This window comes from Homo sapiens, chromosome 9 (assembly GCF_000001405.40).
Source record: "Homo sapiens chromosome 9, GRCh38.p14 Primary Assembly".
In the NCBI taxonomy this organism is placed as follows: domain Eukaryota; kingdom Metazoa; phylum Chordata; class Mammalia; order Primates; family Hominidae; genus Homo; species Homo sapiens.
In genome coordinates this window covers 72,321,643-72,346,394 of record NC_000009.12, presented here as the reverse complement: position 1 = coordinate 72,346,394, position 24,752 = coordinate 72,321,643, and the positions used below count along the sequence as shown (strand labels likewise).

Genomic DNA, 24,752 nt, shown 5'->3' with positions numbered 1-24,752 from the left:
ATTTAGTCGTGGTAAGCACATTGTGAGGGCTTGATAGAGATTCAGTGTTTTAAAATTGGTTTCAGGGCCGGGTATGGTGGCTCACGCCTGTAGTCCTAGCACTTTGGGAGGCCATGGTGGGCGAATCACGAGTTCAGGAGATCGAGACCATCCTGGCTAACACGGTAAAACCCCGTCTCTACTAAAAGTACAAAAAAAAAAAAAAAATTAGCTGGGCGTGGTGGCTGGCGCCTGTAGTCCTAGCTACTCAGGAGGCTGAGGCAGGAGAATGGTGTGAACCCGGGAGGTGGAGCTTGCAGTGAGCCAAGATTAAGCCACTGCATTCCAGCCTGGGTGACAGAGACTCCATCTAAAAAAAAAAAAAAAAAATTAGTTTCAACAGGGCTAATAATCTCTGCAAAAGATTATATTCACAGATGTATAAAAGGCTAGATTCTGATCTATGGAGTGTAACAATTGGTCATTTTTTAATCAACTGAAATTCATTTGGTAGAATGGAAATGAAATCCCACCACTAGTTTTCCTGTGAGGCTGACAAGTCAAGCTGGGGTCCATAAGTCCCTGAAATTGCATGCAAAATTTGGTGTCTGTGTTTCTTGGTAGAATTTTTAAAGAGAGATCCATGACTCAAAGACCCACCATCTAAATGGCCTTCCTGTGAAGATACTTGAGCACTGTAAGAGAGAAATACATGTTACACAAGCCAAGAATACCAAATCTGCCTTGCTTCTCTAAGACAATATAAGAAAAAGAATGAAATACCTTTTCTCTTCTTTTTAGAGTCAACAACAATGGTTCCATGAACTGATGGAGAAAACACATGCCTCTTATTAGAGGCAACAACAATGGTCCATGAACTGATGGAGAAAATGAATTGGTGGGTCACAAATGTAGTCCTCTGGTTGGTCCTTTTAAAAATAACCTTGCCTTGACATTTAGTTTGCTTTTTCCTGATATTTCTCTCCCACTCCTCTCAAACTCAGATCAGGGTCTTAAGACATCATGCTTTACATGATGCATGTGTTCGCAAGCCAAGAAATATGAGTTTCAAGTGTGTCATCTTACATAGTAATTGTCTCAATCATGTAAGTCCAAATATTTTCTTATAGTCCTGGCTGATTCGTCAAGGTACTGTTCTGTGTAATGGAGAGAAACTAAATCATCTATAACCTACTATTTCCAAGGCTAAAATAATAGAGAAGTTCAAATTTAGTCTGAGTCTGTTCAGGACATCAGCACTTGTTTATTACTAAGTGTTCCCTCTTCTGCTGTATACTTTCTCCCTGAACCTGTACCCTAGTTTGCTATTGCTGGAGGGATGCCTTAGAATCAGTCTTTGAAACTCTTCTAATGTTTATAATACCTCCTAATCCATTGGATCCAAATATTGAAAATGGATGAGATTTTCCTAAATCATGCTTAGAAAGGTAGCCTAAATCTTTTAGCATTCTCCGAAATCAACTGGAGAGTTAAAAACAAACAAACGGCCGGGCGCGGTGGCTCATGCCTGTAATCCCAGCACTTTGGGAAGGCGAGGCGGGCGGATTGCAAGGTCAGGAGATCGAGACCATCCTGGCTAACACGGCGAAACTCCGTCTTTACTAAAAATGCAAAAAAAATTAGCCGGGCGTGGTGGCGGTGCCTGTAGTCCCAGCTACTCGGGAGGCTGAGGCAGGAGAATGGTGTGAACCCGGGAGGCGGAGCTTGCAGTCAGCCGAGATGGCGCCACTGCACTCCAGCCTGGGCGACAGAGCGAGACTCCGTCTCAAAACAACAACAACAACAAAAAACACACACACACACATACACATATTTGGATCTCGATTCATTCCCATTGAATCAGAATGTGTGGGAGAATCTTTATTTTTTACAGCTCTTCCTAAGTGACTCTGTTAATTAGAATATACTTCTCCTAGGCCGCGCATGGTGGCTCATGTCTGTAAATCCCAGCACTTTGGGAGGCTGAGGCAGGCGGATCACCTGAGATGGGGAGTTTGAGACTAGGCTGACCAACATGGAGAAACCCCGTCTCTACTAAAAAATACAAAATTAGCCAGAGGTGGTGGCGTATGCCTGTAATTCTAGCTACTCGGGAGGCTGAGGCAGGAGAATCGCTTGAACATAGGAGGCGGAGGTTGCGGTGAGCCGAGATTGCGCCATTGCACTCCAGTCTGGGCAACAAAAGGGAAACTCTGTCTCAAAAAAACAAAACAAACAACAAAAAAAGGATATACTTCTCCTAGCTGGGCATGGTGGCTCATGCCTGTAATCCCAGCACTTTGGGAGGCCGAGGCAGGCAGATCATTTGAGGTCAGGAGTTTGAGACAAGCCTGGCCAACATGGCGAAACCCCATCTCTACTAAAAATACAAAAATTAGCCGGATGCGGTGGCTGGTGCCTGTTATCCCAGCTATTCGGGAGGCTGAGGCAGGAGAATCACTTGAACATGGGAGGCGGAGGTTGCAGTGAGCCAAGATCGCACCACTGCACTCACTAGGTCCATACAATAAAAAGAGGTAAATTTGGACAGTCCAGTGGCTCATTTATATGAACTGTCATAAGTATAGTTTTCTATATCTATGAATTAGCCCCATTTTAAAGTACAAGCATATATAGTCTCATTAAAACTTAATTTGTTGTTTTCTATCCATGGGTCACATCAGAGGTGGGTTTTTTTGTGTGTGTGTTTTTGTTTGCTTTGTTTGTTTGTTTTGAGACAGGGTCTCACTCTATCACCCAGGCTGGAGCACAGTGGCACAATCTCGGCTCACTGCAACCTCTGCCTGCCAGGCTCAAGTGATTCTCATGCCTCAGCCTCCTGAGTAGCTGGGATTACAGGCATGTGCCACCAGATCTGGCTAAGTTTTGTATTTTTAATAGAGATGAGGTTTTGCCATGTTAGCCAGGCTGGTCTTGAATTCCTGGCCTCAAGTGATCTACTTGCCTTGACCACGGTGCTGGGGTGACAGGCATGAGCAATAGTACCTGGTCATGTTATTTTGCAAAATGCTGTCATAGAAGCAAACCCATGTCTATTTTAATCCTATGGTTCCTCAATATATAGCTCAGATCTTTCACCTGGAAAATCCTTGCAAAAAGAAACCACTTAATCACATTATTCTTTGGAGTTCTGTGAAACTGAATGATAAAACTGAAACTCATATGAGTAATCCACTCATTTTATCTTCTTTTTCATTGATACTGTTTTATTTGCCGTATTTGAAGGACTATTTAAACTATTTAAAGCTACAGTCACACTTCCCCTGCTCTGAAGAAGGGCTAAGGAAAGGCAGTGGGAATAAAGAATTCTTTTTCTACTGCATTGTATGAGTTGTCTAGGACAAGGAAATCAGACAGCTCCCAGCATACCCATTGTCAGAGTTCCCTGGCACAACTTCAGAATTGTATTCAAAAGTATTTTCACAACAGTAGGCACCCACTTAATTAAATACAAGCACATAATCAAAAAATAGATATAAATATTTAGTTATCACCAAGGTCTTAGCTTCCTTTCTCTAAATGCAAACCAGGGCCATCTGAGCATACATTAAGAAATGCAGAAGAATTATTGGAATGGCCTTTTGATCCCAAGAGATATGGCACAGAGACGTTTAGAGAAGTGTGCCACATGATCTTCTCAGGAACATGGGAAAGGCACCAGGACCAGAGTGAGGCAGAGGTTGACATTAACTGAAGTTTGGACACCTTTGAGTAACTGTATCTCAAAGAGAAATGTAGTAGAAAAAAAACAAGGACCTTGAAATTAGATAGATCCCGGGCTCAAGTCTTTGTTTCAATCCTAATAGCTTTGTATTTGGGGGCAAGTTATTTAATGCTTTTATTTCCTCAACAGGAAAGTGTGCCTCACAAGACAACTTTACAGTGTTCTTTCCATTTCAATGAAATAACATCCAAAGAGCTGAGCACAGTATTTAGCACAGAGTCAATGCTGCTGATCAAAACTTTTTTTTTTTTGCCATCTCATCTTCACTCTGCCCTCCCTGGCCCAAGCTATCTCCATCAAGTTAAGAAAGACCTGAACTAGAAAGGAGTGGAAGAGACGTTAAAGCCACGCTCTCACTGATTATTGAACAAACAGGATGGTTCATCTCCCTCCTATGGAAGAGAAAGGGCTACTGATGTTAAACTCTACAAATGAGTTGAAAACCATTGAAATGAACTCTGGAAGTCAAGCCCCTCTGATTAATACTTATCTAAGTGAGATTACCTGTTTTGCAATAACAGGTCATTGGTTGCAACCCAAGATGGTGGAGTTAGGGGATCTAGGGGAGCTGCAAAGTTAGGTCAATAATAAACCGTTAGAAAGCCATGAATTACACAGTCATGGAGTCAGGACCCCATTATAATATCATAGTGGTTCTTCTGCAATCAACTGACAATGATGTAGTCTCATGTTCACAAAAAAGGACAGTTCCAAAAGCAGTCAGGTAATTATCAGCATTATTTATCTGACTTTGTTTCCCAGCATTTACACAGTGGTTTCCTAACAGTTTCAGTTCCTCATGAATTATTTCTAATAAGGGGTTGCTATAGTCTCAATGCTGGTGACTCCCACAAATTCATATGTTGAAATCTGATTGTCAAAGTGATGGTGTTAGGAGGTAGAGAATTTAGGAGGCGATGAGTTCATAAGGGCTGAGTTCTCATGAAAGGGATTAGTGCCCTTATAAAAGAGGTTCCAGAGAGCTGCCTTACCTCTTCCACCATGTAAGGCTACAGTGAGAAGATGGCCCTCACCAAACCCCAAATCTTCTGAGGCCTGGATCTTGAACTTCCCAGCCCCTAGAACAGTGAGAAATAAATTTTTGTTGTGAATGAGCAACCCAGCTTATGGTGTTTTGTTGAGACAGCCTGAACAGACTAAGGCAGAGATATTCTAAGCTGGACATCCCATCTCAAACACAAAACAACTGTTTTGTTTGACCTCAAAAACCAACCTGCATCATGAATAATTGTTTTTGATTTGCCCTTGTTTTCTGGATATGAATTGATTTCCAAAAATTATCAACTGTTCCACACTTTTTAGCTTGTGGCAACATTCTAAATCATAAAAGTGTTAATAAACACATCAATAACTTTCCCTTAAGACTGAGCATAAACAAATAGGATATTTCCTGTATCATAGTTTGTATGATATCAGTAATATACTTAATGTCTCAAAAGATTATAGTTAGGCAATAGATAAGTATTGAATTGAAGTGAGTAGTTTGACTATTAGAGGAAGAATAAGAAGTAGTAACGTATAACACAATCTTTTATATTCTTTTTTGGGGTTGGGGATTCTAAAAGACGAAAATGCTTTTCCACAGTTGAATTCAAATATATCTAATTACATGTCTTTCACTTTCAGTAGTTTATAAGCTCCTTGCACTTTCTTTGAATCACCAATGTCTAACAGTGCCTTGCACAAAGTAAGACCCTAAAGATGGCATCTCTCTCACTTAAAGACCAGATTCTTTGTAAGTGGAGCACAAATTTCCTAGGACTACTGTAACAAATTGCCACAGGATGGGTTCCTTAAAACAACTGAAATTTATTCTCTTACAGTTCTTGAGGCTAGAAGTTTGAAATCAAGATGTTGGCCAGGCATGGTGGCTCACACCTGTAATCCCGGCACTTTGGAGGAGAGAAGTGGGAGCATCACTTGAGCCCAGGAGTTTAAGACCGGCCTGGGCAAAAGAGCAAGACCCCCTCTCTATAAAATAAAAAAATAAAATAAAATAAAATAAAATAAAAAGAAAATCAAGGTGTCAGCAGTGTAGGTTCCTTCTGGAGGCTCTAAGAAAAAATTCATTTCGTGCCTCTCTCCTAATTTCTTATGGTTGTCAGCAAATCTTAAAGTTCTTTGGTTTGCAGCTACATATCTCAATCTCTGCCTCTGTCTTCATGGCCTTCTTCCTGTGAGTCTGTGTGTGTCTGTATCCAAATCTCCATCTTCTTTCTCTCAGTAAGATAATAGTCATTAGATTGAAAGCACACCTTATTCTAGTGTACCCTCACCTTAATTTGATTATCTCTGCAATCCTATTTCCAAATAAAGTCACATTCACAGGTACGGGTGATTAGGACTCCAGCATATCTTTTTGGGAGACACAATTTAACCAACTACATTGAGGACACAATAAGAACTAGAAAGTGTGGGCCGGGCGTGGTGGCTCACGCCTGTAATCCCAGCATTTGGTAGGCTGAGGTGGGCAGATCACCTGAGGTCAGGAGTTCGAGACCAGCCTCAACATGGAAAAACCCCGTCTCTACTAAAAATACAAAATTAGCCGGGCGTAATGGTGCATGCCTGTAATCTCAGCTACTCGGGAGGCAGAGGCAGGAGAATTTCTTTAACCTGGGAGGCGGAGGCTGCGGTGAGCTGAGATTGCGCCATAGCACTCCAACCTGGGCAACAAGAGCAAAACTCTGTCTCAAAAATAAATAAATAAATAAAAGAAGAATTAGAAAGTGTGGCCAAAGAATCTTGCTTTAACTATTAAAATATGATGCAGAAAGAACAATTATGTTGACTATAATTCAGGTATGCTTTTACATGAATATTAGTTACAAAGATTTTAGCCACAGATAAAAACTTTATCAATGTGCACCACTTCTTTGATGTGACAGATTCAATAAAGGAATAAATAGCTCTCTTTGAGAAGTTCCATTATGACCACAAAAACATTTAGTTTACCATGGTTGTGGGAAATATTGACATTGATTTTACATGTTGATACACACTATGAAACATTCAGAGGAAATGATCTCTGGTTATGCAACAGAAACAATGCTAAGTGCTTGCTACTGACAAAGACTCTCTTCTTGACAAAATTCTAGCAAGCCCCTTTGAGCTCGTTTTCAACAGGGCCCACGCTTGGGCCTGTCCTCAAGAGCCTGATTTTAGCAAGAATTCTGCTAAGCTAGTTTAGCCATGATCCCTCATCCTTGCTATCTGATCACTCTTAATTTCTGACCAAATTCATCTCTCACCATCCCCCAGGTGATTTCCGATCACCCTAGCAAGAACCCTTCTTCTTGCTGAAGATCTCCCTTCAGCAAGAACCCTGTTAGGTCGGTTAGCTAGAATCCTCTCTTACCTCTGATGTTTCCTCTTAGTAACCATTCCTTGTATTTCTTTTTCCATCCACTGTGCTTCTTGGCTATACATTCCCACTTTTCCTTGCTGTACACAGAGTTGAGTCCAATCTCCCTCCACTGCTGTGCAACTCCATTTCGGTAGTTGCTATACCTATCATGATGGTCCTGAATAAAGTCCACCTTACCATTTTCACAAATGTCGCAAATCATTTTTTCTTTAATATCACCCCAGTTCCTCTACTTCTGCACATTGTAAGATAACAATCCTCAGGTTTCCTTGCAGTTAGCTGTGTGTCAGAGTCTGAGCCAGGAATGGTGGGTAGAATGAAGGTAAGTCACTTCTAAGTTTGACCCTTGAAAACGTTCCGCTTGAAACTCCTTCCTCTCATTTCTCTGCTAGAGTGACTCTGGGACCACATTTTCCAGTGGCATAGTCATCAGAGGAAGGAGAGCCTACCCAGTGTGATGTGAATAAATGGATGAGGTTCCACTGCATTACTACTTCATGGCCCAGTTCCCTAATGCAGGCTACGGATCATGCAAGTTTACAGCATCATCTAACGGTAAGAAAACTAACTGTGTATTTAAAGCCCTTGGAATCAAAGACTGTTTGTGATGTGCTCATCTTTGTATTCCCCAGCACATTTCACAGTGCCTGGCTCACCACCATGCTTGTTTCTCTCTCTCTCTCTTTTCTTTTCTTTTTTTTTTTTTTTTGAGACGGAGTCTCACTCTGTCTCCCAGGCTGGAGTGTGGTGAGGCGATCTCGGCTCACCGCAACCTCTGCCTCAGGGGTTCCAGCAATTCTCCTGCCTCAGCCACCTGAGTAGCTGGGATTACAGGCGCACACACCATGCCTGGCTAATTTTTTGTATTTTTACTAGAGACAGAGTTTCACCATGTTGGCCAGGCTGGTCTCGAATTCCTGACCTCAAGCGATCCGCCTGCCTAGGCCTCCCAGAGTGCTGGGATTACAGGTGTGAGCCACCACGCCCAGCCCAGCATCTTATTTTCTTAAATACTTAAAAGAAAGAGAAAAATCAGTGACAACAACAACAAAAAGCAGCGAGTGACTCCCATGTGCCAAGCCCTCTGGTGTTAAACAGGTAGAACATATTTACTTTATTTACTTATTTATTTATTTATTTTTAAGACAGAGTTTTGCTCTTGCCCAGGCTGTAGTGCAATGGCATGATCTTGGCTCACTGCAACCTCCGCCTCCTGGGTTCAAGCGATTCTCCTGCTTCACTCTCCTGACTAACTGGTATTACAGGTGCATGCCACCACACCCAGCTAGTTTTTGTATTTTTAGTAGAGATGGGGTTTCCCCATGTTGGTCAGGCTGGTCTCGAACTCCTGACCTCAGGTGATCTGCCTACCTCGGCCTCCCAAAGTGCTGGGATTACAGGCGTGAGCCAATGTGCCCAACCTACTTTAGAGGAAAAAATAGTAACTATGTACTCCAAAGTTGGGAAACTAGCTAATAAAGTTATTAAAACATCCTGCATTGTCCACCAGGAATTATTGGTTATTTTATTCACAAAAAATGTAACAACATATGGGGAAAATCATCTAGAAGAAACCTCATCAGTTCATATAAAATTCTTTAAAAAGGAAAAAGGTTTCAGTGGCACCAATCTGGCGAATCTAGAGCAGTGGCCAGTTTGTGATGAGCCACATCCGGAATGAAGTGGGGGAGCTCACAACTGGACATCTTAGCAAATACCAAATCCAGGTGTGTCAGTTGGGACAACTGGGGGAGGAGGTGTGGTGGGCTGTGCAGCCGGGGGAAACTTCACCAAAATGACTAGAGAAATGAGAAGAACAATTATAACTGACAGATAGGAACAGCCTGCTCAGATACGCTAAAAATGAGTCAGGCCTTCAGGATGATGACAACTTTGACAAGGATTTTGGAGGTAACAACAAATGGAAAGCTTTATGTATCCAGTTCAACACAACTGTTCATTAGAGCCCCCGAGGGTTTGATGCATTTAGCAAATGACTATTTTATGTGCTTTTTAATTTTCAGATGCTTCCATAAATTCATAGTCTTAAAAGGAAGACATTTCTTCAGAGCTCTGTAAATCTTACAGTCTGAGTCCTAAGGGAGTTGGTGGAGGTGGGAATACTTTGTATTTGCTAAGCATGACAATAATGTGGCAAAGATTTTAAGACTGTGCTCCAGCTGCAAACAAACTTTGCCAATTTCTTCCTTAGGAAAAATGAAAATAATTTTTTTTTTGAGATGGAGTCTTGTTCTGTCACCCAAGCTGGAGTACAGTGGCACCATCTTGGCTCACTGCAACCTCTGCCTCCCAGGTTCAAGCAATTCTCCTGCCTCAGCCTCCCAAGTAGCTGGGACTACAAGCATACTCCATCACACCTGGCTAATTTTTGTGTTTTTAGTAGAGATGGGGTTTTACCATGTTGCCCAGGCTGGTCTCGAACTCCTGACCTCAAGTGATCTGCCCGCCTTGGCCTCCCAAAATGCTGGGATTGCAGATGTGAGGCACAGTGCCAGCCTAGAAAAATGAAAATAATTCTTATGGTGATTACAGCTCATTCTTATCCAGCCGCCCACTCCCAACATCTCTTTTTTTATATCTTGTAAACTCATTTGTTGTAATTAAGTCAATTAAATTTCTTTCAAAAAGTTCTATAATTCAGACTTGCCTGTACTTACCTGTTTTCTATTTAGAAATAAGATTGATGAAGTATTGAAATTTTAGCTTTAGCTATAATTTGCTAAGTGGATACAGGAATTTTAAAAATGAATTTGCATTCTCCTAACATTTAAAGGGAATATTACCAGAATTGGGAAATTTCAGAGGGTAACTGGAAATGGAGATGAGAATAACGTGATTTATTGGGTAGGAGGAGAGATGGACACGCCAGGACACTTTTGAAGGTTTATGTACCATGTCTGGCCATACTCTAGAAATAATAGAGAATTTTATTAAAAAGAAAGTAACAGGCTGGGCGCGGTGGCTCACGCCTATAATCCCAGCACTTTGGGAGGCTGAGGCGGGCAGATCATGAGGTCAGGAGATCGAGACCATCCTGGCTAACACGGTGAAAACCCATCTCTACTAAAAAAAATACAAAAAATTAGCCGGGCGTGGTGGTGGGCGCCTGTAGTCCCAGCTACTCGGAAGGCTGAGGCAGGAGAATGGCATGAACTTGGGAGGCGGAGCTTGCAGTGAGCCGAGATTGTACCACGGCACTCCAGCCTGGGCGACAGAGCCAGATTCCATCTCAAAAAAAAAGTAACATTGCAGTCAATAATCAAGATAATTTTTCTTATAAATCTAAATTTCTATTTATTTATTTATTTTTAGAAACAGCATCTTGCTCTGTTGCCCAGGATGGAGTGCAGTGGTGCGATCACAGCACACTATGGCCTTGAACTCCTCTGCTCAAGTGATTCTCCTCCCACCTCAGCCTCCCTAGTAGCTGGAACTACATGTGCAAGGCCAGAAATCTAAACTTTTTACTTCATTTTTAGTTAAGGGTTTTAGTCCTCTTTTCTTACTCCTTAATAAATTACTTGGACATACTTACATGAACAGAGAATAAATAATTATTTTTCTTCTCTTCATGATGATTAGGAAATAAATTGTTCACTGGGCACGGTGGCTCACGCCTGTAATCGCAGCACTTTGGGAGGCTGAGGCAGGCGGATCACCTGAGGTCAGGAGTTCGAGACCGTCTCGGCCAACATGGAGAAACCCCGTCTCTACAAAAATACAAAAGTTAGCCAGGCATGGTGGTGGGCGCCTGGAGCAGCTACCTGGGAGGCTGAGGCAGGAGAATCTCTTGAACTCGGGAGGTGGAGGTTGCAGTGAGGCGAGATCGGGCCATTGCACTCCAGCCTGGGTGACAGAGCAAAACTCCGTCTCAAAAAAAAAAGAAAGAAAGAAAAATAAATTATTCTTCCTTAATTAGCTTGATTTAATTATTCCATAATGAATACATATACATGAAAATATCACATTGTACCTCATAAATATATGCAATTATTAATTATCCATTAAAAATAAAATACATTTTTTAAAAGAATTAAAATAAAATAAATGGCTCCTCAGAGCAGAGAGATGTGAACTGAGCCTCAGGAAAACCGCAGGCTACTTCTGGGTCTGCCGTGAAGCAGCTGTGTGACCACAGACTAGTGCCTTGACCTCTAAGACCCTCAGTTTTCTTCACCTGTAAAATGAAGGCTTGGCTTTAGACAGTATATTCAGGTTCTTTCCAGCTTTAACATTTTAGGATTCTAGATGAGGAGAAAGACTCTTATTCAGAGACTCATTTCCTCTTCAATAGGACAGGATGAGAACTCAGAGGGTGTGGCCACTAACCTGTCTTTCCTGAGGCTCTCCTTGTCTTGTCTGGGCATTGGCTGGCCTCCTTACATGTCACCATGAGGCATTCTTCCTGGCCACCAATGTTTTGTTTAGACTTTCCCATACTATCTACCCAGAGTCTTTCAATTTGCTTCAAGCTTAACTGTGGTCAGTTCGGAGTTGAAATTCAAGTGCACAACGTGACAATGACGTCTGTGCCTTTGTTTCTGGAATAAATAGGTAAACTCTGAGGCGGAGAGGAAAGAGGGAGTGGTTCTTGCACTAGAGTGGAACTAACAGCCCATCTACTTCATAAGGCATCGATGAATTGAAAAAACAAAACTCTTTGCAGACCCCATTTCTTTCTTTTCTTTTCTCTTTTCTTTTCTTTCTTTTTTTGAGACAGAATCTCACTCCATCACCCAGGCTGAAGTGCAATGGCACGATATTGGCTCACTGCAACCTCCGCTTCTCAGGTTCAGGTGATTCTCCTGCCTCAGCCTCCCAAGTAGATGGGATTACAGGCATGAGCCACAATGCCTGGCTAATTTTTGTGTTTTTACTAGAGACAGGGATTCACCATGTTGGTCAGGCTGGTCTCGAACTCCTGACCTCAGGTGATTCGCCCACCTCGGCCCCCCAAAGTGCTGGGATTACAGGCGTGCAAGAGCCACCACACCAGGCCCTCAGATCCCATTTCTCAAGTGAAATTCTGTGGGAGACCATTGAGATTCACTGAGGCGCAACACACCCGTCAGATGAACTTCTGGTAAATGATAATGATGGAGCCGGAGGAATCAAGCTTTGAGAAGGTCGTTTCATCATAAAGGCTGTGATTTCCTCACAGTTTGTTTCATTGACAAATGTTCTTTCTCCTCAGAACTGAACCCCTACAATGTGAGAAGACTCTCACAATTGCCTTTCTCAAGAACACCACCTTGGCCACTTCACCTTTCCCTGTAGAGCGCCACCTGTCTTTCCCTGGATGGATGCAGGATGCTGCCTCCACAGGGCCACAGAAGCCATTGTTCCAAGAAGCACCGGCTTCTTGGGCTTTTAGTTTAATCAGTCTCCATGTTACGACCTAGAGTTCTGTCTCCTCCTTATTTTCCCATCAATCCCCACAGCAGAATGCATTCCTCTTCCAAGTATCTCCAACAGTTGACTGCTCATCTTCCCCTCAGATGTCAGTGAGAGTCTATTAAATGGCCCAATCTTGAAATCTTTCTGATGAAGACAAATGAGAAATCAACTTATGAAACAGCTCCTAGTTACATTTAAAGTCTCTCCATTTCCTTTAGTTTCTCTTTGCTCCAAGGCTTGAATATAAAATGGAGACAGGGTTTCAGCGACAGATGGCAGAGGATAATCTTTCATTTTGTCATAAAGTTAACCCTTGGAGGGGCCTGAAAAGACCTTTCTCTTGGACAATCAGTGGCTTCATATTTCCTTGCTTTTAACTGGGTGGAAAAAGCTCTTTTCTGATTTTCAGAGAGCATGCCTTTCCTCTAGGCTAACCCACATCGCAAGACACTCAGACGAGGCTGGCCTCTCCATTCTGATTTATTTATGCTGCTTGTAGGTGCCTTGCACATTTTAATTAATGATGATTTGACTGTGCTTGAGCCCTGGCGATAAATACAAAAACAGGGCTCTTAAAGATAATCCAATAAACAAACCCAAGAAAAGCTATCTTCCAGTATTATTTGTTGCCATTTTTAAAGGGGACAGATGACTAAATGAAATACAATACTGAAATTAATTTTTAAGGTTGGTAAACAGTAACTATAACCGTGACTAAAAAATGCCCATTAAATCTTATACTGGCTAAGAAATCACAATTCTATGTGATGAAGCATTTGTTTTATTCCTTGAACAAGTTCAGCCAAAGGGGGTTATGATTTAATGAGTGGAGAATTCTTGTATTAGGTGTTGTAGCAAAGCCGAGAGACTGTCACTAAGACCAAATAGCTTCCAATCTTAATCAATAGATGACAAAGAAGCCAAATGACAAGTTTTCTTTAAGGCAAAATCCTGAGCATTTTTGATCATTTAAGTGAAAGGAGAATCTAGATGGTTCCAAGTATGTAAGGAGACAGAACGTTCACTCAGAGTGAAGGAAATGTTAAATAAAGAAAAAACTTAAGTTGGGTGTGATGTCTGTGCTAAGTCACAACACATGAAGGTCAAAGTCCTCATGTTTGTATTTGGGGGCACAGCACATCGAGGCGGATGGGTCTTTATATGGCTTTGCATAATGGTAAGGATGGAGAATGTATACAGCATAGCAACGCAGGGAGACCTGGATTGCATTAGAATCCTGAACAGAGACAAGCCATTTCTGCTCATGTTAGCACTCTCTCCCGAGCTGCTCTCCTACACCCAAAGGCTGACTCCAGAGATATTAAGGAGCAAGAACAATCCCTTTGTAAGGAATGAGGGGGTGGAGAATTGAGAGAAGACTGATGTTGTAATCTGGTTCTCTCATATCACACACCATTTCTGTGATGGAGTAATTGCTTTTTCTGTTTCAAAAAAACCAGACCCATATCCCAGGTCTGGGGAATATTGGAATCATTGTTTAAGAGGACAGACAATTGGGGTAGCAAAGAATAACAGGAAAGGATCAGGGGGAAAATAGAGGGGCTTTAAAACCTAAACATGGGATTTTCTCCTGTAGAATGCCTGAAGGCTTTCTAGCATGCTCTCTTTTTCTGGGTAGTGACCCAAGACTGGGGACACCCAAACCTCCCACATAAGTTTTCAATATGTAGTTCCCTTTAAAGAAGGGAATTTTTCCTTGGAAAAGGATTTTTTGTTTTTTGTTTTTTTTGTTTGTTTGTTTGTTTTTTTTTTGGCCTCTAGCAAAATGCAAGAGCCACAATGAAGGACAACACCTTCACATGTAAAAACCTTTAACACTCATTCGTACATCACTCAGATCCTATAACTGAGTTTTCAGAAAAACTGTTTGGGATCTATGGTATCATGAATTAATTTTGTTATGAGGGAAGCTATCTTTTGTGTGCCCCTGTAAGGACCGGACTACCATGTCCCACATTTTTCCTCCCAAAGTTGAAAAAATCTCCAAATCTCTGATTTACACATTTTGGGACCCATCAAAGTGGTAACTATCTGTGTTCAGATTTCACAGTCTTTAGGGGCTGGTGACAGAGATGAAGCAAGCAGCAGTGCAGATAAACATGGGAGTGGAATGTGACACACACCTAGCTCCCAAAAAATAATTAGGGAAAGATGATTCTTGCACGATAGAAAGGCTGACCCTTAAATTACTCAGGTAAAGTGTTTAACATGATGTCTGTTCCACAGTAATGCTCAATAAATCTTTACTAACAAAAAGGAGTTTTCAGAAGAACAGTCACAGGGCAAAGATCAGAACAGGTGAGCAAGGCTAAATAGCGGGAGAAAAGAATTTTGAGAAGGTGTCCATGCTCTATCATCTCAGATAATATGGAATCAATTAAGGACTGAGAAGGGGCCTCATGGAGATCTGGCAAGACGTTCATCGCTGACTTTGACGATAACAGTGGTTAGTAGAGTGGCTGAAGATGGAATCAGATGCCAGTAGGGTAAGGGAAAGAATGAAGGTATGAAGGGAAACTTTGCAGGGAAGACAGAGTGACAGGACAGACCAAGATAAAGTTCTTTAGGATGGGATAGAATTAAGCAGACTAAGGAAAAGGAGGTACTATAGTAACTATGTTAAAGCCCAGTGATACTCTTTGTTGCTTGCAAGGGCTAAGGCATATAGTTCTACCATAAGCTCAAGAGTGGAGAGTCAAAATCTAGATTCTGGATTCAAGGTTTCACAATAAATTCACTGCACTAGCTTCGGCAGTTATTTAATGCTCCCTGGGTCTCAATCCATCAACAAATAATACCAAATATGAAGAGTATATAATACTATATTCCATAAGCATTACTATACAAAAATCCATATGCATGTAATCTGTATCAAGCAGACAGAAAATGCTTTGAAAGTAATGGTGATAGAAAACAGTGATAAGAAAGCATGAAGTGTTATCAGCAAAATGGCTGTTGCAATGACTGCTACATATGCTATTTTCTACTAATGGTATTATACATTCTGGTTTTTCAAATTTCAGATGCTGGGGCTATGGGACCTGGTTAATACAAGAGTAGGGGAAAATTAGTATCCTTACCAGTGTGTCATCTTTGAAGCAAAGGAGTGATTTCAGAAATGAAGAGGTCACAATAGAAGCGACAGAATAATAATGCCTCAATAATCAGTGAAATTATCTTGAGATAATGAATGCTTCTAGGAGGCAGCAGGAGTGGGGGATGAGAGGAATTAAGTGATGAAAATGGCCCTACCTAAATTTCCACATAATGGGGTTATGAAATAACCTGTATCTGTTGGGTTAGAATAGAGTAAAATAATCTTGATTTTGGTAATGTAAAATTTCTTTTTTCTGAAAACATTTTTTATTTTTGTAATTATTTTTCAAGGAAAGTTTGTGTAAGCTTTGTGCATTCTTCTTTTTATTCTTGCTGACTTACTTTTGGTCTCCATAGAGGTACTCAAAAGTTAATGAAGTGACAAATTTTTTTTTCTTTTTTTTTCCTGAGATGGAGTTTCACTCTTGTCACCCAGGCTGGAGTGCAATGGTGCGATCTCAGCTCACCGCAACCTCCACCTCTAGAGTTCAAGTGATTCTCCTGCCTCAGCCCCCTGGTAGCTGGGATTATGAGCATGCGCCACCACACCCGGCTAATTTTTTGTATTTTTAGTAGAGATGAGGTTTCAGGAGGTCTCAAAACTCCTGACCTCAAGTGATCTGCCCGCCTCGGCCTCCCAAAGTGCTGGGATTACAGGCGTTGAGCCACCGCGCCCAGCCAAAGTGGCAAAATTATATTTAGTAAAAGGGAAAGGAGTAAGGGTGGTGGTGAGAGAAAAGGCGGTGAGTGAAAACCTTCATTCAAGACTTTCATACACAATTTAACAGCTAACACTTTGATAATATTGAGGGCTTACGTGTGCAAGTGTTCTACATAAATATTACCTATGAAGTAGGTAATATTTTTATTCCCCACTTTGAAGATGAGAAAACTGAGACTCAAGGTTATTTGCTCAGTCACAGAGCTAGTAAGTGATAATGCCAGGATATTCAAACCTAGACCCAAGTGCACTCATGCTCTTAACCACTGTGCTATCTTGCTTCCCTGAAGACTCTAACAACATTTGGTCCTCAGAACCTATTCCTATGAAAGGATTTCAATGGCTCTTGAGCACTTTGCTCTCCATGACTTTTCCAGGAACCATGCTGATATTTCCATTGTTGACATCATCCCAGTGCTGCCTGCAGTTGTGTTTCCTCTTATTTATTTTCCTTATTGGAAACTAGAAGCTACAGTTATTAAATGCATTCAAATAGAGCTGCTCAGGGGAACAGACTTTCATGAAGGCCATACTCTTTAAAGGCTAACATAAAGCTTCCAAGCTCCCCCACCTTAGGAATCAGAGAAGGATGAAGGGCAGGAGACCCAGAGAGAGATTCTGTTGTCCTGACCTGAGCAGTAGACTATTCTATGCTTGTTCACCAAGAATGAGTAGCTGGGAGAGCAGAAATCCAGTTTAGGAAATATCATTCCCCAAAGAAGGAAGTCATTAACCAACATTTCTTCCTCTCTGTTAAGGTATGTGAAATGTAAGGAGAATGATTAAGAACCTAACAGGTAACAGTGATTAAGAGAAGAGGACTGGCCATCAATGGTAGACTGGATTAAGCAAATGTGGCACATATACACCATGGAATAGTATGTAGCCATAAAAAAGGATGAGTTCATGTCCTTTGTAGGGACATGGATGAAGCTGGAAACCATCATTCTGAGCAAACTATCTCAAGGACAGAAAACCAAACACCACGTGTTCTCATTCATAGGTGGGAATTGAACAATGAGAACACTTGGACACAGGGTGGGGAACATCACACACCGGGGCCTGTCATGGGGTGGGGGGAGGGGGAGGGATGGCATTAGGAGGAATACCTAAGGTAAATGACGAGTTGATGGGTGCAGCACACCAACATGGCACATGTATACATATGTAACAAACCTGCACGTTGTGCACGTGTACCCTGGAACTTAAAGTATAATAACAAATGTATATATATAAATTTTTTTTAAAAAAGAGAAGAGAATTGGAATCAGATTGCTTGGGTTCAATTCTGGTTTCATGACTTACTAGCCAAGTGAATCTTTGTGCAAATTACTTCAACTTCTCCAGATGTCAGTTTCTTCATCTGTACAAGGAATAATAATAATGCCTATTTTATAAGATTGCTGTGAAAGTTTAATGTAATTATCTATTTAAAGCTGAATATAACAAGTGCTAAATAAATATTAGATATTTGTTAACACAACTTGGGAAAGCAGGTGGTGAGGGTTGTATTAGCTTCCTAGGGCTTCTGTAACAAATGTCCACAAACTGAGTGGCTTAAAACAATAGAAATTTATTCTTCACAATCTGGGGCCCAGAAGTCTGAAATTTATGTGTTGGCAGGAATTCACTCCCTCTGCATTCCAGGTGCCTATATCCCTCCAATCTCTGCCTCCATTTTCACATGGCGTTCTCTGTGTGTCTTCTCTTCTGTCTCTTTAAGGACACTTATCATTGGGTGTAGTCCAGGATGATCTCATCTTAAGATCCTTCACTTACTTACATCTGCAAAGACCCTTTCTCCAAATAAGGTCACATTCACAGGGTCCAGGTTTTATTTATTTATTTATTTATTTATCTGTCTATTATCTGAGTGGAGTCTTACTCTGTTGCCCAGGCTGGAGTGCAGTGGCATGATCTTGGCTCACCACAATCTCCGCCTCCCAGGTTCAAGTGATTCTCCTGCCTCAGCCTCCCGAGTAGCTGGGACTACAGGCATACGCCACCATGCCCAGCTAATTTTTGTATTTTTAGCAGAGATGGGGTTTCACTACGTTGGCCAGGCTGGTCTTGAACTCCCGACTTCGTGATCCACCTGCCTTGGCCTCTGAAAGTGCTGGGATTACAGGCGTGAGCCACTACGCCTGTCCGGGTTCAGGTTTTAGAACAAGGACCTATCTTTTGGGAGGCTGTCATTCAAACCACTATAGGTGTTCAGAAACGTTTTCACTTCTCTTTTAACTACTTTCATTCCACTTTTGGCCGGGTACAATCTTTATGCTGTTTCCTAAATGCTGATGGTTCTTCCTTGACTTAGGACACTTTGCTAACTCTGTTAGGCTCGGTGCCATGGAGGATATAAAAATAAAACATCCTGGCTGGGCACAGTGGCTCATGCCTGTAATCCTAGCACTTTGGGAGGCCAAGGCGGGAGGATCATGAGTTCAGGAGTTTGAGACCAGCCTGGACAACGCAGTGAAACTCCATCTCTACTAAAAATACAAAAATTAGCTGGGCGCGGTGGTGTGTGCCTGTAGTCCCAGCTACTCGGGAGGCTGAGGCAGGAGAATCACTTGAACTCGTGAGGCGGAGGTTACAGTAAGCAGAGATCGTGCCACTGTACTCCAGCCTGGGCAACAGAGCAAGACTCCATCTCAAAAATAAATAAATACGTAAACAAATAAAATTTAAAAAAAAATCACAGACCACAAAGTAATACAAATCTGCCATGATCAAGGCCATCAGAGAAGTATAGATGAAGGCACTTAGAGGATGAGAGTTTACTTTGAAAATAAGCTAATAATTGAACTAGGTGATGGGTACATATGGGCATGTAGGTTGGGGTGTGTAGGGCTCCTTCTACGTAAGTGGAAGGAATAATGAAAGCAAATGTAAAGAAGTAGGATAGCATGGAGTATGTATTGAAAACAGCAAATTGATTTTGCTTTGGAACAGGGATCAATAAACTGGCCCATCCAGCCTACCATCTGTTTTTATATGTGCCCTGAACTAAGAATAATTTTCATATTTTAAATGGTTGAGAAAAAACAAGATAATTAAAAATTTATAACATGAAAATTATATTAAATTCAAATATTAGGATTCATAACTAAGCACAGCCACACTGTTTTGTTTACATATTGTCCATGGCTGCTTTCACACTACAATGGCAGAGTTGAGCAGTTGCGACAGAGACCACATGACTGAAGAGCCTAAAATATTTTCTGTCTGGTTTTTTTTTTTTTTTTGATGGAGTTTCCCTCTTGTTGCCCAGTCTGGAGTGTAATGGTGCAGTCTCAGCTCACTGCAACCTCTGCCTCCCAGGTTCAAGCGAGTCTCCTGCCTCAGTTTCCCCAGTAGCTGGGATTACAGGCAGATGCTACAATGCCCAGCCAATTTTTGTATTTTTAGTAGAGACAGGGTTTCACCATATTGGTCAAGGCTGGTTTTGAACTCCTGACCTCAGGTCATCTGCCCGACTCAGCCTCCAAAAGTGTTGGGATTACAGGCGTGAGCCACCATGCCCAGCCTCTATCTGGTTCTTTATAGAAAAAGTATGCGGCCAGGTGTGGTGGCTCACACCTGTAATCCCAGAACTTTGCGAGGCCAAGGCAGGCGGATCGCTTGAGCTCACAAGTTTGAGACCAGCCTAGGCAACATAGTGAAACCTTGTCTCTACCAAGAATACAAAAAAATTAGCTGGGTGTGGTGGTGTGCACCTGTGGTCCCAGCTACTCGGGTGGCTAAGGCGGGAGGATCGCTTGAGTCCCAGAGGTGGAGGTTGCAGTGAGCTGAGATCATGCCACTGCACTGCAGCCTGGGTAACAGAGTGAGACTCTGTCTCAAAAGAAAAAGAAAAGAAAAAGTTTGCCAACTCCTGCTTCAGAAGAACCCTCAGGGGCATAAAGGAAATAGCAGAAGAAGATATGCTGGTCCAGTATTGCCATTTGGCCTTTGGTAACAGCCTACATTCTTGACTTTGCTCAGCCTTTTTCTACCCACCTAAATTTTCCCATCCCAAATATTATCCTCTCAAGACCTTAATTGGTTATTTGCTAAGTAACCTGAGAGCTAATTTTGCGATCTTTTTAAAGCTGTGATTGAATCATAACAGTTTAATGTATAACTTATTACTCCTCCTAGGTAACATATTTGGAATTTAGGGGAACCCAAACCAAAAAATTGCTTCCCCCTGGCAGAACAGTGGGAAAGATATTTGCAAAAGTGAGCCTTCCTTCAACTTTCATGTCACACCTTATAGGCAGCCAATTCTACCTATCAAAAGCAAACTTGGTTGTTAGTTTTGCTGTTACCCTTTCAATTGGTTAAGTTACTAGTATGCCATTTGCTGCTAAGTTTACCCTTAGGGGAGAAAAATAACGGCAAGAATTACTTTACAATAATTGTCAACCACTGAGAGTTAAGTCTCTATGCCCCCTTTAGCTAATAAGGTAGGCCTGGGTAGCTATCATTAAGTCAAAGATTTTTTCATGAAGGAGGAAACAGCTCCCTGATGAATTTGAGATGAGATTAGAAATGCTGAAAGCAGTGTTCTCAAACTTTAGCATAGAGAAGAACCGCCAGAGGTCTGTTAAAATACGAATCCGCTAATCTTACCCCCAGAGAATCTGTGTCTCCAGTGGAACTCAGGAGTTATGGGGGGAAAAAAAATGATGAAGGATCCAAGCTACCTCCCACAAAGCAGTCTTTATATTTGGTTCTTTACTTGCTCCAAGAATCCCTAAGTTGTTAAAGTAACAGACAATGTAAGTAGACAGAAGCATCATTTTGAAAGACTTTCCTGTTCTCTCATTCTGTTTAACTGACCTTTATTCCCAGTGAGTAAACATGAATCAAACCCTAGTCTAAGTAAGAAAACGTGATTTGAGGGAAGGGCTGGATCTTTGAAAGCAGTATAGAATGGAGGTTAGGAAGGGAACTCTAGACAGAGGCTGCCTGATTCAAATCTCACCTCTGTCACTGGTGCTATGTGAGCTTGGGTGACAACTCGAATCTCTCTGTGCCCTCGTTCCTTCATCTGTAAAATGGGAATAACAATATTATCTATGTCTCAGAGTAGCTGTGAGCATTAAATGAGTTACTACATGTAAAAAGCATAAAATAGAAACTTTTAGTACATTTCAATAAATATATAAAAACTTATTGGAGAAACTCTTGTGTGACCTCACATACCTTGTAAGAGTGGCATGAGAATTAGAGCATGTTCATAATTAAACAATTATGATTGTGCTATTTACTCCAAGTTAGCCAGGGGCTTGTTCCTTAGAGACCACTGTCATTTTCTACATTTGTCCATGAAGTTAATCCACATATTTACAAATCCTAAATGTAACTTTACTTTTATTTTCAATAGGTAACAAGTATTAAGAACCATATCACAAGGACTTTGATAACTGCTTGACTTTGTGTGCTTTATCTCATTTATTTCTCAAAAAAAAAAATTCCATGGGGTAAGTACTACTACTAGCTCCATTTTACAGATGAGAAACTGATGTTGGCCGGGTGTGGTGGCTCACGTCAGTAATCCCAGCACTTTGGGAGGCCGAGACGGGTGGATCACCTGAGGTCAGGAGTTTGAGACCAGCCTGGCCAACATGGTGAAACCCCATCTCTACTAAAAATACAAAAATGAGCCAGGTGTGGTGGCGCACGCCTGTGGTCCCAGCTACTCGGGAGTCTGAGACAGGAGCCTTGCTTTAACCTGGGAGGCGGAGGTTGCAGTAAGCCAAGATCTCGCCACTGCCCTGCAGCCTGGGAGACAGGGGAAGACTCTGTCTCCCCCACCCACCAAAAAAAAAAGAAAAAACAGAAAACTGATGTCACACAGCTAGTAGGTAAGTGCAGCTGGGACTCAAATCTAGGTTATCTGGCCCCATTCTTCTGTGGCAGTAGTTCTCAACATGGGGCAATTTTGCCCTAGTGGTAGACTGAATAATGGGCCCCCAAACATGTCTACATCCTAACTCACAGAACCTGTGAACATTACCTCACATGGCAAAAACACCGTGCAGATGTGATTAAGTTAAGGATTTGAGATAAGGAGATGAGCCTGGGTTATGCAGGTGTGCCCAAGAGAATCACGACAGTGCTTCTAAGAGGAAGGTAGAAGGAGTCAGAGTGGAGGAGAGGGCGATAGGATGACAGAAGTCAAGTTTGGAAAGATGCACTTTGAAGAGGTAAATGAGGACACAAGCCAAGGAATATAGGTGGCTACTAGAAGTTGAAAGAAGACAAGGGAATGGATTCTCCCTTCAGAGCCTCCACAAGGAACCAGCCCTGCTAATATTTTGATTTTAGTCTCATAAGACTCATTTCAGACTTCCAACCTCTGGAACTGTGAGAGAATAAATTTGTGTTTAAGTCATTAACTTTGTCATAATTTCTTACCACAGCAATAGGAAACTATACCACTCTCCAGGGCACACATGCCAGTGTCTAGAGACATTTTTTCCTATTGTAGCAGGAGAGGTGGTACTACTTGGTAGTATCTAGTGGGTGGAGACTCAACCTCCTGCAAGACACAGAGCAGTCTCCCACAACAAATAATTATCCAGCCCAAATGTCACCAGTGCTTGACAGAGCAGGAGCACCGTCATGTTGGACAAACACCACCACTTTAAGTTCCAGCTCTCTTTCTAGTGTCATGCATTTCAAGGAAATCACTTCTCTTCTAACTACAAGCAGCCAGAAAGAGCAGACAGTAAAACACAGATAAACAGAGGTGGGGGGAAAGGCTCTTGGGTAACTGCCAAACTTCGCCCTCATACAATGGGCCCCGGTAAAACAGTGGGCCCCAATAAGCACATTCCTTTCCCTTCAGGTGCACTAAGTTAGGGAAGCTAAAAGCAGAATTGGGGGGTATGCCTGCAGCTGCAGAAAGATGTATGGGAACAGACACACAACTCTCCCTCCCAGATAAGCACAACAAAGAGACACAGAAGCAGTCCAAGCCTCTGATAAACTCTTCCACCCTGAATCCTTAAAACCTCTTAGTGTGTAAGAGAGTGGGCTCTGACCTAACTCGGCCAGAAGCCCCTCTCAGGTTTGTTTTCTAAAATAAACCTGTCCTTGTTGACTGTCGAGCCACCCTTCATGTTTCTTTCCTATTTCTTTAATTCTTACAGTGCTGAGGTTGAGAAACCCTGCTGTAGAGCAGCAGAACAGGAAAATCTGCACGGAATGCCAAATACTTCCAATCTGTAATCAGCCTTCTACCTAGCATAACTCAGGCTGGTCTTTAGCACATCATGGACATGGATGTTGTATTCACCTGGTTTATTGCTAACCCACTAAAATCAATTATGGTATTAGAAGAAGCTTTTTTATCTATAGAATATAGTTCATGCTCCTCCCTCTGGTTTTGAAGGCTCACCACAGCTCACTCCAACTTACTTTTCCAGCATGATTTCTTTTTAATCCCCTTTGCAAACCAAACATCCTTGGAAAAAGGGCAACTCTATGTAGCACAGGGCAGGAACGAATGAACTGTCTCCTCAATGACATAGTTGCATGCTCTTACAGCGAAGGTATTCCACTTGAGGCTAAAATTTCATGGCAAGAGTCCACTTGTTCTAGCTTGGTCATGTGCTCTCCCTAAACTAATTCCCAAGGCCAGGGCAATTCTATTCTCATTTTATCCAAAGAAAGCACTGGAGACTTTGAAGATCATGTTTATGTCTATGTCATCCTGGAATTCTCCAAGGAATGCATTCTAGTGCCTTGCACATGTTGACATGTGAATATTGTTTGAATGAATAGCAGAATGAAAGACCAACTCTCTGGGATGCATCATCTTAACCTTCATCTCTCTGTCCCTTATTTTGCAGTTATAGCATGTGATACATCATTTCTGTGACAGATTTAACCTAAGTATTTGTAGCAAAAACTTTTTAAAAACCTAAATTCCTGGTCCAGAAATATGCTATTATTAAACTAAAGTTCAGAGTTTACATCTTCATAATAGAATATAGGTATAAAGTTATTGGAAAGGGACCAGACTATATGATTATCACTCAGAAATACAGCATTTATTAAACAAATCAACAAAGAAATGAGTATAACTCATAATTAATCAGTCTGGGCTCACTACATACTTATGTTCAAACTAGTAAATATTTTAAGTTTTCTTGAATTACAGCTTTAGATCAGGGTTGGCAAACTATAGTCATGTGTCACTTAGCACTGGGGATACCTTCTGACAAATGTGTTGTTAGGTGGTTTTGTCCTTGTGTTAGCCTCAGGGAATGTACTCACACAAACCTAGATGGTATAGCTTACTACACACCTAGCTTATATGGTGTGGCCTATTGCTCCTATGCTACAAACCTATTCCTTCTTCAAAGGTAAACTAACTTTAGCTTACT

At 41.7% G+C, this 24,752-nt stretch overlaps 1 long non-coding RNA gene across 1 annotated transcript in view; it reads right to left on the bottom strand.

Moving 5' to 3' along the window:
• Positions 1-3,184: 3,184 nt before the first annotated feature.
• The window catches only part of LINC01504 (long intergenic non-protein coding RNA 1504), a 37,775-nt gene continuing 16,207 nt past the window's right edge, over positions 3,185-24,752 (bottom strand). Inside the window, exons 3-5 of the long non-coding RNA NR_110952.1 lie at positions 17,674-17,731; positions 10,898-11,003; positions 3,185-4,803 (exon numbers count right to left, since the gene is read on the bottom strand). This is a non-coding gene — a long non-coding RNA (long intergenic non-protein coding RNA 1504). The remainder of the gene's footprint in view (positions 4,804-10,897; positions 11,004-17,673; positions 17,732-24,752) is intronic.